This window comes from Homo sapiens, chromosome 5 (assembly GCF_000001405.40).
Source record: "Homo sapiens chromosome 5, GRCh38.p14 Primary Assembly".
Classification (NCBI taxonomy): domain Eukaryota; kingdom Metazoa; phylum Chordata; class Mammalia; order Primates; family Hominidae; genus Homo; species Homo sapiens.
Window position 1 is genome coordinate 60,248,705 of NC_000005.10, and position 18,487 is coordinate 60,267,191.

Sequence of the window (18,487 nt, forward strand, 5' to 3'; positions counted from 1 at the left end):
GTATATTTCCAAGCTTCCACTTCTTGCCCTTGGTTGGTATTGGTGTCAAAATCATTTTGCCTGCCTGCTTCGATAGCCTGCTTTCCAACAGGAAACTTCTAAATCTCTTTACATTCAGTGCTCCAAAAATATACATTTGCACTTCCCATAGCCTGACACATCTGCATCATCCCTTTTGTTCCTAATCACTCTCAGAACAACAGCAGCATACCTGATTGAGGAGCAGCTGGCATTCACTGCGCAAAGAGCACCATCAAAAATTGAGCATGTGGCTCCAAGAGCCACCACTGTTTCCTTCTGTTTCTTGCCAAAGACTGTAACTTGTGGGTAGGCTGGGCCTGAGTGATAGCAGGAAATGGCCCACTGCCATGCAAAGTGGCTCCTCTGAAAAAACTTTTAACCATATCCCTGCAGCTGGACCCCTTCCTCTGAAGTTTCTAGATATTGCAACTCCCCAAAGAGGAAGTTGTCTAAGGGAGGTACAATGCTTTAGGGAGAAACTGACCACAGCTTAATGGCTTGTGAATGCAACCACTGCAACTTCTGGGCCCATTTCCCTCTCATGCCCACACAGGGCTGGGTGTGTTCTATTAAACATTTAGGTAAAAGGAATAAGTAACTAGCTCAGCAATGTCAGCATCATGTCACCATGGCATGACAGAAACTCAGTTTTCTGACTCTTAGTGAAATGGATCATTCAAGAGTAAAGCATTAAAATGTTTATAAAATACAGTTGGTCCAAGAGGACAAGTTGTGTCAAAATCATTTTCCAAGACACCTCATGTTTTAAAAAATCCTAACATGTAGCCTGCATGCAATATGCAAACAGGCTGCTAAGGAGAGGACATGACATTAAAATGTCAGTAGAATTACTGCTCAGCTGTAAGAACTCACACACTTTAGATTTAACAGCAGTGAGTTTACATTGGGTCACAAGAAATAGGATTTAAATGAATATTCCAAACCTATTTTCTGAAAATGCATTTTGCAAAGATACAGGTAGGCATACCTACTTCTGAAAAAAAATTCATTTGCAATAGAAAATGGGATGAGAAAACAGAAATAAAATGTATTCATCACCCTTGTCACTCCTCTATTTTAAATAAAGCAGAAACCACACATAACATTCCAGGATATTAAGCTAGGTATGAAATGATGTTCAGACTACTAAGGCTAAAGATTACAGCCATAATTCAATCTGATATTAAATGCATTTATGATGCCATATAATGTGGGAGACATTTAAAATGACTACCAAAATTTCTACTAATATGACCTTTTCTTGAATTTTATTGTTAAAAATCCTTTTCTGCCAAAATGTCAAGGTTTCTCACAGTGCTTCTACATACACTGTAACCCCAGTAATAGAAAATGTATATTTTCTGTAGACACTGGGGCTATCATCAGACAAATTTATTCTGCTGAAACTGGAGTCAACATTAAAAGAGTTTTTTGCAGCATAGGTATTTTTTCACTTATAAGTTATTACTCATTTTTCCTAATACTGTGCAGATAATATAACAACAATATTGAAGGTTTTTTTTAATATTTGAAAATTCATTGCACATAAAAGCATGCTATGCTATTGTTCCTGTTTTAGGTCCCCAGTCCCTGATCAAAGATGATATACATCTCTAGAGGCAGCTAGGAGGTGTCTCTAAGCTGGTAATAGTCGGGGTTGGATTTGTCTCAAAGCAGCAAAAACTTGTAAAGATGGTTCTGCATCCCTAAGCCTTCTCTATCTGATAACTTTGATTATTTTCAAGTATAATCATGTGCCATATAATGACATTTAGGTCAACAATGGACCACATACTACAGTGGTCCCATTAGATTATAACGAAGCTGAAAAATTCCTATAGCCTAGTTATTAATATACCATAGGCATAGTAATGTCATAATGGAAAGCAGTACTTATATGTTTGTAGCAATGTTGGCATAAAAAACCTACTGTGCTGTCATTCATATAAATTAGAGCACACACAATTATGTGTACTACATAATACATGATAACAATAACAAATAATGGTTACTAATTTATGTGTTTACTATACTTTTTATCATTACTTTAGAGTGTGGTCCTTCTACTTATTAAAAAAATAGTTAACTGTAAAACAGCCTCAGGTAGGCATATCAAGAGGTATTCCATAAGAAGGCATGGTCATCAGAGACGATGGCAGCTCCTTGCATGTTATTGCCCCTGAAAATCTTCAGTAAGACAGGGTATGAAGGTGAAAGACAGTGATATTGTTGATACTGACTCTATGTAGGCCTAGACTAATATGTGTATTTGTATCTTAGTTGTTAAGAAAAAAGTTCAAAAAATAAAAGAGATAACTAGACATTTTTTAATAAGAAGCTTATATAATAAGGATACAGAGAAAGGAAAGAGAAAGGAAATATTTTTGTACAGCTATATGGTGCTTTACGTTTTAAGTAGTGTTATTACAGGAGTCAAAATTGTTAAAGATAAAAATTAGCTATTAATTTTTTATTGAAGAAAGAAATTTTCTTAACTTTTAAGTTTAGGGGTACATGTGCAGGTTTGTTATATAAGTAGACTCATGTCATGGGGGTTTGGTGTACAGATTATTTCATCACCAGGCATTAAGCCTGGTACCTGCTGGTTATTTTCCTGATCCTCTCCCCCTTCCCACTGTCCATCTTCTAGTCGGCCCCAGTGTTTGTTGTTCTCCTCTATGAGTCCATGTGTTCTCATCATTTAGCTCCCACTTGTAAGTGAGAACATGCAGTATTTGGTTTTCCGTTTCTGCATTAGTTTGTTAAGGATAATGGCTTCCAGCTCCATCTATATTCCCGCAAAGGACATGATCTCATTCTTTTGTATGGCTGCATAGTATTCCATGGTGTATATGTACCACTTTTTATTTATCCAATCTACTATTATCGATGGGCATTTAGGTTGATTCCATATCTTTGCTATTATGAATAGTGCTACAATGAACATATGACTACCTGTGTCTTTATGATATAATAGAATGATTTATATTCCTTTGGGTATATACTCAGTAATAGGATTGCTGGGCCGAATGGTAAAAAAGATATTTTTGTAAATTTAGTGTACCGTTAAGTGTACAGTGTTTATAAAGTCTATAGTAGTGTATAGTAATGTTCTGGGCCTTTATATTCATTCACCACTCACTCACTCAGAGCAGCTTCTACTCCTGCAAGCTTCATTCATGGTAAGTGTCCTATACAGAGGTCACTTTTTTTCCTCTTTTATTTTGTATTTTTACTGTGCTTTTTCTGTGTTTACATATGCTTAGATACAAAAATGCTTGCCATTGTGTTACAATTGCCCACAGTGTTCAGTGCAGTAGCAAGCTGTACAGGTTTGTAGTCTAGGAGCAATAGAATATACCATATAACCTAGGTGTATACTAAGCTATACCACCCAGGTGTATCTAAGTACACTCTACAATGTTTGCACAATGACAAAATTGCCTAATGATATATTTCTCAGATTGTATGCCTCTCATTAAGTGATGCATGACTGTATTTAGGTTAGATGGATATGTAAGCTAAAAATACATGGGGGTGGAGAATTTTGCATTAATGTACTTTTTAAACAAAGAAATATATATTTATCATTTATGGATGAAATAGTTTCTTTTTAAAAATGCCATTCCAATTGGCACAATTAATATTCAAAATTTCACAGCACACTTTTTTACTTTTTTTTTTTTTTTTGGTCAAACATTAGCTATAGACTCACTCCAGTTTATTTAGAGTCTTTCTAAATATGTTTTAAAATACCTGAAGTTCTACAAAAAGTGGGGAGCCTTTCAAATGCATGATAAACTAGGGTCAGTAGGTTTTGGAGAGTTGAAAGACATTTGAAAATATGGTAGTGGCAATGGCAGGGGTATGGGCTGATAATGAGACGGATAGAAATGAAGGATGCTACACCATTCAGGATTAAAATTCAACATTAGTTCAAGTTTTAAGACTTTTACTCCTATGGAAAGAGTGGGGAATTGGAGTAAAATCCAAGAGAGCAGGAACTGTCTAGAAGAAAATTAGCCTGCCCAATCTCTTTGGCTTGTTTCCTCCTCCTCATGGATCCCTCTCTATTGATAAATTTTAAGTAGTGCCTATACCACACATAGGCTCCATTTTCCATCCCATGCCACATCTCGAGGGAAGAGCTATAGGAATAATACACATAAACTAGAGTGGAATTTTGATTCCTACCACTTGGAACTTGACTAGAATGTTGAACAAACCAGATCCCATTTGGTGACTGTATACATTGGTGGAGGAAGTCAATGCTTTGAAAGGCCAATAATCACTGGACTGAAGAAACAATTTACCAGCAACGGTCACTATTAGTTATGGACAGCACAAAAAAGACCAAAGAACATCAGTACCCAAGGCCAATTTATGGAAACTAACTGAATGGCACAAAATCAACCAGAAGGAGCCCACGGTTCTGCTGACGGCAGTTGCTCTGCAGGTTTCAACCATTTAATTTTTGATCTGAGCTCCTACAGCACAGGCTCTTTGCACCTTGCCCTAGAGAATCTGAGTAAATGCGTTTTTATTTTTAGATGTTTTCTCTCTTGACATAGGGTTCCACAAATATGAAAGAGCAAGTCATCCCCCAGGCATGCTAGAAGTTGTTGTTGTCTCTTTTCTCTCCCTCTGTGGTCTCCTGCAATCACTTAAAATAATAATGTGCCAAGAAATGTTTTCCTACAGAACAGGCCACTTCTCTTGACTGGCCCTAAAATGTATGTGTGTTAAAAGGATTGAGTCTTCTTTGGAATATTAGGTTGTCCCTTTTTGATGAATTGAAAGGTGTTCCAGACTTGAGAGGCTATCTCAATTTTACAGTAAACAGCTATTTTATGAGAAAGGAAAAAAATTCCATGAGGTGTTTTTACCAAAAACGCGATTATTACCAGCCTAACAAAAGAATCCATTGTGAGGAGAAAAAGCACAGCCAACTTAATTAATATCATTTACAATCTTTACAGATGCTCACACAATGCCACATACTTCTCATGTCTACAATGAGTACTAAAGTCAAGAGTATGAAATCAAAAGGAGCTAAATGTCTTCACAGCTTCTAAAATAATAATTCAAAATGGGACTGTCGGTATTTCAGAAACTACATGTCCCAGATTAACCTATAATATTGGGACAGAGTAAAGGGAACCTGATTCAATGATAAATTACCCACAGAACTATGTGGTGTGATAAATTGCTAACTCAACAAAGCCATCAACATATTATACTTTAAGAAAGTTTCTTGTTTCTGAAAAGAATCATCAATCAACCTTGGTACTTAGAAGAGAGTATCTTAGATATACCTCTTCTTTCTATGCCCTTCTAAAATTATTTTTAGCTAGGGATGATAACCAAAAGATAATGTAGCACTGTCAAAGTGAAGACACTGATGTTTCTCAAAGGAGAGGCATTGCTATGTGGGAGACTACTTATGATCCCTTTGTTCTTGGGCTGTAGTCCCTTGTTGGCTGCAGAGTCCAGGGTTCAATCAGAGATGTTCACATTATACCAAGAGGCAAGAGATTTCTTTCCTTCATGGTTTCATGACACCTTTTAAGATGCTCAATTCATGCTTATGCCAGCAACCCTGGCCCCTAAAGAACACAATTAGAAATACGTTGTTCTGTTCATATTCAGTCAAAGATGCTATCTTGTCCAGCCCCTGCCTTTAAGCAAGTGAAGCATTATTCATTCCACTTAATAGCTGAAAGAAGTGGTTCCAAGAGCATATCTTTTGCCAGAATCCATTTGCCCTGATGCCCAATCCAATGTGTCTTCTGCTAAAGCAAAGCCAACAGCAATTAATAGACAGGGTTTTTATGGTGTCCCTTCATATAATCCTGTAGCCATAACTTGATTGAGTTTCAAAATCATCTAGGTAAACCATGAGCAAAATCGTGTGTAAAAATCATGTAGAATGCTTAAAGTGCAAAAAGCAGGAGAGAGTTGTTAATAGCGCAGACTATGTCATCATGATACTTAGACATCATCTGATTAAGCCAGTAATAAAATGTGTAATCTTAGAAAGTGATTTACCCTTTCTGTGCCTCAGGTTGCTAATCTATGACATGAGAATATTAATGGTATATACATCATAAGGTCATTGTAAAAATTAAATGAGAAAGCATGCAGTTAGCCCTAAGTGCTGTACCTGGCATATAATAAATGCTCAATTAATACAGCTATTAATATACAATGAGAGTGTTCATTAGCAAGTACTCTCATTCTCATAGCAAATACACTGAAAAATAGCATCATGGCTTAAATACTTCATAAAGAAGAATACTGCTGCCTCAGTTTACACTTTGCTTCCCCGGCTCAGAAGTGTCATATTTACACTTTTTCTTGCTTTGAGTTTAGTAACCATCTCTTCATATCAAGGGATGAAAATGACTATCATTGTTCAACCCATTCAGCTGAGATTAGAAAAAGATTTAACCAGGGATGATAAGCAAAAGAAAACGTACCATTGTCAAAGTGAAGACACTGATGTTTGTCAAAGGACAGACATCACTATGTGGGAGACTACCTATGATCCCTTTGTTCTTGGGCTATAATTTCTTGATGGCTGCAGAGTTCAGGGTTTAACCAGAAATGTTAACATTATACCAAGAGGCGACTTGACCAACACTACTAACTCATTGGAACTTCTCAGAATACACAAGGAATCCCTCTTTTATATGTCACAGTAACTATTCATGACTCATTTATTATATCCTAAAAAACTTTTCAGTATCTCAAAATATTGGTCTTTGGACTCAGTGAGAAGTGGGTTCAAATCCTAACTGCAGCTTACTAGCTATATAACCTAGGGCAACTCACATCTTCTCTATGAGCCTCAATTTTCCCATTTATAAATGGACATAAGTATAACATAGTATATTGTTATAAGAAGTAAATAACTCATTCATACTTAATTACTCTCTATCAACATCATCATTATCACCAACTACTCAAAAGTAAGTATGGCCAGGTGCAGTGGCTCACACCTTTAATCCAAGGTGGGAAGATCACTTAGCTCCAGGAGTTTGAGACCAGCCTGGGAAACATAGTGAGACTCTATCTCCACAACAACAACAACAACAACAACAAAGGAATAAGCTTAAGAAAACACTATGCAACATATTTTCCAATGTAACACTGGCAAATGATTCCTCAAACATTGTGTCTGTATATCTTTTTACATTTCTTCAACTTGATGGTGTCATTTGAATTATAACCTTGATGTTTAACAAGCTCATCATCTCCCTGGACACATTTGTTGTCAAAGAAAGAGCTCACAATTTCAGTATTGCATTTGGAATCTCAGAATTTAATTTTACAAATAAAAATCAGATGCATACAATTCCTCCATGTATCTTTACTAAGCCTTATATGGACTCTCTTGAGAGTTATCACCATCAGATTTTGCTGTTGCTCCAGGTGGCCAAAGTTGTCCTCTCTATTCCAAACTGTTGCCAGAAGTTGGTCTACATGCAGAGTTCCAAAATCACATAATCCCCAAACTCAAAGATATTACTTCAAACATCACCATCAGTACCACTACTTTATAATGGGTTTAATTATTTTTAAGCATGGCCTCATCAGAGGTTTTAAAATATCTTTAAAAGAAAATTTTGTGAAACCACTTATTTATTTAAAGATTAAGGGACAAACAAAAAATATAATCACAATCTATTTTATTTTATAAATCCTTAATTTGTGATTTTGTTTAAAATATGAAATCAATAACCCTAAACTCATGTGTCCTTCAATTACCTGGAAATATGATCACAATTTGAATCTCATGAATGTTTTAGAACGAAAGAGAATCAAACAACTGCATTTATTAGAAACACATTGCATAAAAAAAATTTCTAGTCAACACACTGGAAAACATAAAGAATGTAAAATTAGTCCTACCTTAAGGAAATAATACATAGACATACCCAAGAGGATTTGTAAGGCAACATATTTTGAATATGTGAGCTGACATCATGTGGAGGAGACAGAACTGAAGAAGAAAATTGAGGAGGCAAATGTCGAAAGAAGTAAAGCCTCCACTGACAAACAAGAATGGGTTTGCTTCTTGGGAAGAATGTATGTGCAAACATACTGAGGTAGAGACAAGAAAGTTTATTTCTAAAGTGTTTAACAATATTATAGAATCCAAAATTCATGTTGAATTTCACATACGTATATCTACACACACATACACACATGCACCCACATGGTAACTATGTAGAAGTGATAGATATGTTAATTAGCTGGAATGTAATCATTTCATAATAAATACATAGAATAAAACATCAAGTTGTACACTTTAAATATATACAATTTGTATATGTCAAGGATATCTCAATAAAGCTATTTTTAAAATAAAATAAAATTCACACAGAAAAGATGGCCAAAAAGAATTAAGATTTACTTCTGCATGTAATAAGAAGTTATTATAGAGTCAAAGAAAGAAAAAGAAAGAAAGAAAGAATGAATGAAAGAAAGAAAGAGAAAGAAAGAAAGAAAGAAAGAAAGAAAGAAAAGAAAAGAAAGAGAGAAAGAGAAAAAAGAAAACACAACAAAATCATATTTGGAAAAACCTCTTCTATCCTCAAATCATTTCTACACAAAACTTTCGCTATTAAGGTAAAAGAGCTATTATTTTCTTTGCTATAGGACAATTTTTGTGGCAGCGGCGATATCTGAACTATTTTCAAGTATTTCATGCAAGACAAAAAAAGTATTAAAAATAAAACTATCTGCATGCTTTGATGTAGTTTGTAAAGTGTCTGTCCTGTTTTCAAAGGAGCCCTTAGCTTATGATGTATCTGAAGGCATTTAGCATTTAGTTATCTGATAAAATGACAAAGGACTGAAATAGACTGCAGAGATCTTATATTGACTTTTGTTACATCCAGGGATTTGAGAGGTGAAGTCATGCTAGAGAAAGCACTTCTGCCAGTAGATGCTGACAGATTCAGCAGCTCCTCAGACAAAATGGACATTTCTCTGTCAATATGAGTCCTCAACTCTGTGAAGTGTCTCAAGCAATCCCAGCTGCAGAAGGATGTCTGCAGAAGGATGCCAAGTACAGACACAATCTGTCCCCTCTCCTAAAATGAGGTTGATTCTCATTATTCTTAAGGAGTCACAGACAAGCTGTTATCAATTTGCTCAAGTGAGGAGCAAACCATAGCGAGCTGTTGCGACACTTAACATCTAGGAAAGCAACATAAACCAAATGTGCCCACAGCCCCAACGTACCAGCAATTTCTGGACCTATCTAATAATAGTTGAGACAAAGGGAAGAATGAAGCCTGCCACACACACCTCACTCGCCAGGCCTTGCTTTTGCAATAATGAACTAACAGAAAGAGGGGACTGTTTAGTAACTCAGCTCCCTCCTCATTATTGCATTGCAAAACAGTCCACAGAACAAGCTACTCCAGCTGCCTGCCGATGGTGATTTTACCCTGTTTCATACACTATCCTTGGGCATCAGCAATGCAGTGGTGTGTGAATATACAGTCCCTGCAGGAAATAGCATGTTTTATGGAATGAAGCATTCATACAATTCAATAAGAAAAATAAATAGAAAGACATAAATGGACCATTCACAAAAGAACAAAAATGACAAGTATGAGAAAAGATTTGACCTCAGTAATAAGACCAAAAAATACCCTCAGAAATTAAACAAAATAATAAAGCATTTTCCCATTAAAATCAGTCAATATTTTAAAAAGTAAAAAAAATGTTCTTTGCTGGTGAACTTGCAATGAATTTGGAATGTTCATACATTGTTTGATATAGCAAATATTGACACATACTTTTGAAAAGCAGTTTGCCAATAAGTGTTTGATGCTTTGAAAATATTCAAAAGGAAAAATATAAAAATATTCCTGTTTAAAAATGTCTACTCCAGCTCTTGCATATAAATAAATAAATAATGAAGGCAAAACCTCATAAGAAACATAATAATAAAATAATAAATGTTTAAGGAAACCATGCAGAAACAATTAAAAATTCTGTTAGTGAAAACTATATTACTTAAGACTTCTATGATTTTAAAAATTTTATTGTAAAAATATTTCCTATATACAAAAGAGCAAATATAACTATCATAAACACTTTCTATAACATAGTTTCAAATGAAAAAAATCAGGACACAAAATTATATATACAATATGATTACAACTATACATAAAAATTATCTTTGCAGGAAATATGTCTAGAGAGAAATAACCTGAAGTCTTAACAATGGCTATTCTTTGGTAGTGAAATGATAGGGTTTTTTCCCCTACTTTCAAAACATTAATTTCTGCTACATATAAGCTCATCATATTTACTATCTCTATCTTCAGATGCTAAATTGGAAAAAATGTCTGAGCCACTATAGTCATCTTTTTATTTTTCAACATTTATTGAGTTCTTCCTATAATTATAAAACACTAGGTATCAATGGAGAAATAAATGTATATAAGACATATTTTATGCTTTCCAGAAGCTTATAAGAAATACAACAGGTAATGGAACAGCAAAGTAGAAAAACAAACTCATCATAAATTTAATGAATTGAATTTGTATGTACACAGTGGCATTGTACAAGGTGAACGATGAAGAAAATGTCGTGGCATTTTGTCCATTCCTCATATATTGGTAATCTGGACAAACTTCTCCAATTAATAATTTCACATTATCAGACAGAATCAAGGTAATAGGCAAATTTATCGAGACCAAAGAAAGAAGCCAGTAAGAACCACCTGCAAAGCTGTACTCTGCCCTTTTTTAACCTACCTGTGGTTATCTATGAGTAATTTTATTCTTATGTTATCTTTATAACCTTAGAAACTCACAGATTCCTGATCATAGATATCATCTTGACTACAGTTTCCACTCATTTCAAAAATTCACTCTATAATAACATTTTCTGTGATAGGGAAGCTGAAAACTTTCAAGGCAGTGCCTTCCACTTATGGACAGTTTGACTCATTCTACACATCTTCCAGGTATAAGCACAGGAATAGACCCTCTTTACACAAGGCAAATAAGGAAAGGCTCCTGCCCTCAAAGAGTTCATGATGCAGAAAGGTACACGTGGAATGCATAAACTCATCCACAGTCAAGAGCCCTGAGTGACCTCCTGGGTGTTTTACTGTATTTCTGGGATGGGCACCAAGGAAAGTGGCTACTTCTGCTTTGCAGATGAGCCTGGTCAAGGGTTAGCGGCACTAAAGCATTAAAAAGAGAAAAAAAAAGGAACTATAGTTGTATACTTTCAGGAAACGCCTCTTAAAGATCTGAAGATTTACAATTCTTTTTTTTTTAAGCCAAAATATGTGAAAGACTCACATGCTTCAGCAAAGAAATCTATTTAGGTTCATTTAATCTTTGCCTCCCCATCCCCTCCCAACCACCACCACCTATTTTTAAATGGGACCATTTTTCATGTTATATCTGTTAACATCCCATGGAAAACCCATTGGAAAAAGCTGCTCTGAATCTGGCCACACATCTGATAGTGATAAACTGAGGCTCAGAGGCCTCTGAGCTCAGTAAATTACCCGCCCAAAGTCATACCAGTAGCTGTGACAGAATCATGGTTGGAGCCCAGGATACTGAGTCATATCCATGCTAATCCTATGTCCTATACATCATAGACCCTGTCACACTTTTTATTTTTTAAAAAAATCACATATTTTGGATATTAACTGACAGAACCAGCATATTTTAACACAGAGCAGGGGAATACTAGCAATGCAAAGAGTAGGCAAAAAATATGAAGGTCTAAAGTGAATATAAGTCAACAACACAACATGAATTTATAATAAAAGAAACTTATAATCTCAATCTGGAAGAGAGAAGACCAACCAGTCACAATTAAGGGACTGAACTAATTGTTCCCTAAGGCGGTCATGTTCTCTAAATATCTGTCAATCTGCTCAAGTGCCATGTAAAATGACTTTACATGGATGCAGCGCTGTTTATATAAAGTTGATCATCCCTATGGAGAAGATGAACAATCAAAATAAACAACAGAGTCCTTCTCTGAAAACCCTCTAATTTCACAATGAGTTCCTAAGGGACCATGTGTCTTCTGTACTAGAAGTTTCATTTAAAAACAGGATAGATTAACATCTACTGGGAAAGGTATAAGAATAGTCTTGCCAAAAGGAAAAGAGATAGACTTGATAAAATTTCAAAGTCATTGCCAACCTTACAAGACAGCCTGTGAGTCAGAGGATGGCCATCCTGTTTATATGCCACCCAGAGACTGTCTCTCATTCTCCTTATTTTTCTCATATTTTGATCATTTTATTGTTTACTGGAATTTTGTCTACCCTATGGGAAGACATAAAAATGAAGGAAGACTGGAAACATTATTATATTGAATTCTTTGCTAGAGATATTTATTTTATTGAACATAGGATACAATAGGAGAAGGTAAAAATTACAGCTAAAATATGGTTTAGATTACATGTGCATTGTTCCATACCATTTCTTGATCAAATTAGAAACAACCTTGAATGTTTGGATGGTAATCACTGACCAGGTTATGTTTGAGAAGAGTTGCTTTAGTTAATTTTCCAAACTTAGATTTTCAGAATCAATTTTCCTACGCCAAATCAGACCTGAAAACAATTTGAACTGATTCTCCTTCTCCCTTATATCTTCCCCCTACATCTCTTTTTGTAATCTGCAACTAAAAGGAAGTACTTCTGAGAAGGCTTTAGAGGAATTTCAATATGTAATTAAATTGGTACCTTTCTATTCCATTTAACTTTTAATTAAAATAATATAAAAACAATCACAACACTAACATTTCTTTCATTTAAAATAAGAATATGTATGTTTTTGGCTTATCTGAATTAATTAGCACTGATGGTCTTTGATTACTTTTGCTCATAATGAAAGAAAGAGGTGGGCTGAGTTTAGCACTTACAACCTAAAGATAATGCCCAAGGTTTAAATTTTAATGATTTTTTAAAAAAATCAATTTGCATTGATCGGGCTTAAGTCCTCCTGTAAGTACTAGTCAAAAATAAAAGTCTCTTCAATTAAGTATTATCAGAAAGAAGAAATTACCAATCTCCTGGGCCACAAGTGTGCATGAAACAGATAAAAATGATGTTTCTGCAGTTTGTTATTTCCTTGAACATCCCCCAACCCTGTATCCTGCATCATATTGACCAGAGGAAGTGAAATCCCCCTGTGACCTGTTGGCACTAATCATGTCCCATAACTAGGCAGTTGACAGAACCAAATTTCAGTTTGTGTAATACTTGAGAACTTACCCCCAAGTCTTTCTAGTCTCTTCACCAACCTTCTACCTCAGCGTAAGAAAGAACAGGGGAGATTATAAGCAAGCTAAAGTCCTTCTAATCTACCCTCACCACCCACAAAGCCTACTATCACCTGGATTTGGCAATAACTATGACTGAATTACGGCCCTGAAATTGACCCCACGAAATAACACCAATGTAGAATGGTTAGTCAACTACACCTGAGTTGCTCCCGTCCCTCAAACACTGGAAAGAATGCTTGGTCTGATAACTAATTTAAATTATTTTTGTAGTTGGACCAAAAGACCTTGGGCAAACATAAATCAAAACATGAGCAAAACACAGCTTTTAAGAACAGAAACTTTTGGAATCAGGCAAACTTAAGTTCAAATCCTGACACTTACACTTGTTCTGGGACCTTAGACAAGTGTACTTCTGAGCCTCGGCTTCTTCCTGTAAAGCAGGGATCCTGGTAGTTCCTCACATGTCAGTACTTATTCAGTGGTAACTATTATCATCACTGTCTTCTTAGCAGAACATTCCCAGGACACAGAAAGCCTCTCTTTATTTTACACCCAATATCCTGCAGAGAAGGTGTTTCCTGCCCTGTGACTTAACCTTAAAATACAATGATTTAACAAAAGTACGTGATGAGACTAAGATCTCCATTTTCAGCATAATTGAAGTCACATTACAGAAACTAGAAATCACTTCATAAAATGCACTGATGATGTACATTTATTTTTCAACACTACTTTCTAGCTTTGTCAGCACAACCTCAGCGAGGGTTCCTCCCATATGACAGGGTATTGTTTCACACTAAGGGTGGGGATAGGGGAAGGGTTAGGGAGAATAGAGAGTGGAGAAAAATGCAGTTGGAATCAAAGTAAGGTTTGCCTCAACTTTCTAATTATCTGTACTTTGGGAACCACCACCTATTTGTGCAAGAAGGAAAGGCAGTTTGGATAGGGGAGGAAAAAGAGCAGCAAAGGAGAAATCACTACATATTATAAACAAAAACTCAGTCTTCACGATTGACAGCTTCTCATGGGACTTCCCTGGGGAGCCAATTAGTGCTGGTTGCTGAAGTGGGTTTGGTCCTATAAACCTCTGTGCTAACGCCCACCTGTGCTGCACCAACCTCCAATGGAGCCGCAAAGCCTCTGTTAATGAGGCTTAGGACCAATCATCCCACAGAGAGAGTTCTGCTAAGGGCTCCAAAGCAGATGTCTTAGGGTAACCGTCAGGGAATCTCCCTTAAATTCCATTGCCTGGTTGGAAACTAAGACATTTTAAAATAATGATTTGATTTATTCTTTCTGCACCTCTTTTTCTTTGTTCCTTAACACCTGAGACAACCGTGACCACAGCCTCCATGTAAATTCTAATCCATTGCCCGTCTAGCGGCTGGGTGACGCCACAAGGAGCAGAGAAGAAATCTAGGCAAAGAACAAGTGACAATTAGTAACATCTCTAGAATCATTGTCTCCAGTAGCAGTGGGAGATGCAGTTAAAACTAGCTCTACACAACAGTTAAAGCAGAGTTTAGCAACATCTGGGAAGTTGCCTGATTGCTCTTGCAATAAAATGCTTCATGGTTTCTGTTGCTTCAATACACAGAGCTCAGGAGGCCTTGTGAACCCGTTTAATGTAAGCTCAAACAAACTGACACCAGTTTTGTTATTTTGTCTCCTATGAACAACATTCACCCTTATAGAGGCATACCTACCTGGTTCCTGCTATCAAAAAATCAAGCAATGAAAACCTATTATGAAAAATAAACACCTATTATGAGCAGAGCACTGTATAAGGCACCCTGGAAAGAAAAGAAAATTCCTCAAAGTCCTTGGCTTTGAGAAGCAAAAATTAGTAAAATTAATACCAGTGACACTACATGTGAAAAAATAATAAACTAAATAAAAATAATATCACTACATGTGAAAAAATAATAAACTAAAAATAATAAATACCAGTGACACTACATGTGAAAAAATAATAAACTAAAATAAAAATAATAAAATAAATAATAAACTAAAAGGGATTTCTGAAAAGGAGACAAAAAGATAAATGAGGCAACAATTCCCCAGAAACCAGATGTGAACTTAACTTTTTAAATGGTGAGACTTAGATTGGAGGAATGGGCAAATATATGAAAACAAAGCTTTAGAAGTGGGAATGCACAAAATATGAAGCCTGAAACTATAAGACCCAATGATCTGAAAAATGCTCACATTCTCCTCAAGCTCAAATGTTCATGAAAATAAAGGGAAATAAAAGATAGTTTCCTAAACCTCATGTAGGCCAAATTTTTCCTGACACGACTTGAAGATGGCTGAGAAAAAAATGCCTGTTGATTAATTTGACTGCAATACAAACAGAATAGGACAGTACCTTGGCCTAGCTATAGCCAAAACAATCACAAAAACACTAGAATGAAAGCTCTCTGCCTCCCCAGGCCCCACGCTCTCATTGTTGCTGGTAACAGCCATCTACATCAACAAATCAGAATTGGAGAAGATAGCCCAGAGAACAAAAGAGGGAGGCACTAAAGTCCTTTCACATGTACTGGGTAAGTGGACTAGAATGTCTCAGAAGATGTGAAGTACAGTTGGTTGCCAAATTCAGCGACATCTGTCAATGTTTATCTCAAGAAAAGTACATCAATCTAACACTGAGATGGCACTGAACTGGGGGTGTGGGATACATCCTAAGGATCTGTTATTCTCTTTGGCTTGCTTGGGACACCTCTGAGGTTGGAAGAACCTGGAGAAGTTAGAGGTGACGTGCACACCCTGCTCACACCCCTCATTCCATCCCTGATTATGGAGTGACAACATTTTGCAAGTGAGAGGAGAAACTATTTAGTGGAATCTTTACTCAGAAAGAACCCTTGGAATTCACTCATTCATTTATCCAACAGATATTTATCAAGTGCCAGGGAACACTGTGCTGGACACCAAGGATATCATGATGAAAATTACAGGCATGTTTCCTTCTCTTTGTAGTGTATTACACGAGAGAGGGCAAGTGGTTGAAAAGTGGAAATATAGTTATACATGCTAGGAGGCTAGAAAAGCTGAATGCAGTGTCTTCTTTACCCCATTGGTGAGGGAGGAGTTCCCACCCTAGAAATATGGGGATGGCCAACCACATGACACTCAACCTTAACAGAGGAGATTAATAGCAGTTCGCTAGTCATATCTACTCACAGCCCAGGGGAGGACAATGCACCCCACACAGGCCACACAGGGGCCACACTCAGGAAAGGTGAACAGGCAGGGCCTATGTGAGGCTGGTTTTGAAGTAACAGAAGGGCAAGGTAGCCCTGGTCCCCACAAGAGGATGTGACTGGCTTGTTTGAATAATTCCACAGGCTGTGAGGGAACCAAAACCCACTCCTCAGGGATAAGCAGATACTGGGCCTGGTCCTCAAGATAAGGAAAGTCATTTGGCTAGGAGACCTCACCCACAGGAGCACAATGGAGAGGGAAATTTGTGGTCAGGCTGTCTGATGAGCTCTTGGTTTTACCTTTTACCTCTCTTGGAACCTTAATTCCAAGCCTTAACCTGACACAGTGGCAGAGCAGAGAATGATTTATAGGCTGCCTCAAGGTCCACCCTGGGATTACAGATGGCTCAATCAGGAGGCCTTAGCTGGTGGGACCCTAGACTAGAAAAAACCCTTTTTCTGTTCCACTCCCACTCTGTACCTGGCAAAACAGCTCAAGCACATAAAAGGGGCCAGAGTCACCTGCCATTAACACCTTGCTCCTTCAAAAAATGCTGTACTTGCTCTGAGACATCACACCTCCTGCCAAGCTGAGCCCCGAGTCAGGGCAGAGGAGAGCAAGGTGATTCTTTGAAGCAGCCTCTCTGACAATTGTATTCACTACAAAGTCAATAAAGACATAAAGCCCCATTTACATTAGTGAACATAAGTTCACAAGAACAGGACAGAAGCTACAGAACTGCAAAGAGCGTTGGTCCCTCCTGAGATGGCAGACAGCTTGGGAGAAGCAGCTGTCCACAGTAGAAGGAAGAAGGTGCTTTGCCTCACAGGGCTTGCTGAGACCTGGCAGAAGGCAGGAAACTAGATGCAGCGGGAAGAAGGAGCAGACATTTACAAGGGCTGGGTCCGCTGTTGTCACTCAAACAGGCAGCCAAATTTCTACCCTGAACACAATCTTATCATCAGTAAATGCAAGGGAGAAAGAGAGAGAGGGAAACTGATTAAATAAGTTAAATCTCTTGCAAGAAGTGCAAACAGTTTGCTTCCCCACAGCAGGATATTGGAAAGCCCCATGAAAGCAGGCTCTGGAGAGACATAGATAGTGGAATGAGAGTACTTTTTTAATATAATTTTTATAAAGAAGGAAACCTTGAAGTTCAAGAGTCTGGCAATCTAAAATTTTTGTAGAGAAAGAAAAGATTGGGTTCCAAATAGATAAGTGCTGGTGGGCATCTTTCTAATTTGCTCACTTTTCTTTCTTGGCATCCTATTACCATTGGCAGCTTCTCCAGGCTGCTGCTGCTTCACCCTTGGGCAGTCTGTGCCTGAGAGGATGCTTGCTGGTAATCTGCAAAGGGCAGGAGACTAGGCAATCTCCAGGCTTCTGTTTCCTGAGCTCTGACAGCACCCAAACATGGGTGTGCATACTGTAGGCATTAGTCTTCACTCTGGCCCAATTCTAGGTGGATATACAATCTAGTCAATAAGTTTCAAGAGTTTATTTCTAAGAGAGCAGGAGGAAGACACCCAAGTTATACCCATCTTTCTGTCTTCTCAGGGCTATCGGTGAAGTGGAAATAGAATGTCAGTAGACACATTTTCTCTTGCATTCCAGGCTCAACCAAATGACTTAACTATGTTCTCCTGTGCTATGGACAAAATGATAATGTCCCAACCATTTTCATCTTGAGCAGATGTAGAGGAGTGAAGAAAAGTGCACGTGTATTATCCCAAACCCATGTGTTTCTGCCCAGATTGTTCAGGGACTATGGTGCTCTTTCTGCTTTTCCTCTCATCAGGCAGATCTTATGAAGATGACAGTGGGGGAACACTAAACTATGTGCAGAATGAAGCGCTATGCAAAAAGTTATCGCCAATACATATAGAATAAGGACGTAAAACTGTCCGTGTGTTTCCGTTACATTTACATTAGAAATATGATTGGGAGGAAAGGATTGGAAAATATACA

At 37.1% G+C, this 18,487-nt stretch overlaps 1 protein-coding gene across 15 annotated transcripts in view; it reads right to left on the reverse strand.

Moving 5' to 3' along the window:
* Positions 1-18,487, reverse strand: part of PDE4D (phosphodiesterase 4D) — a 1,553,091-nt gene that overhangs the window by 1,279,667 nt on the left and 254,937 nt on the right. For 3 of the 15 annotated variants that reach the window (XM_047417293.1, XM_011543469.2, XM_047417301.1), the window contains exon 1: positions 212-329. The exons of the other annotated variants lie outside the window; for them this stretch is intronic. The gene's annotated coding sequence lies outside the window, so the exon portion shown is untranslated. Of the gene's footprint in view, positions 1-211; positions 330-18,487 lie in introns of those variants that run through there. 15 annotated transcript variants of the gene reach the window in all.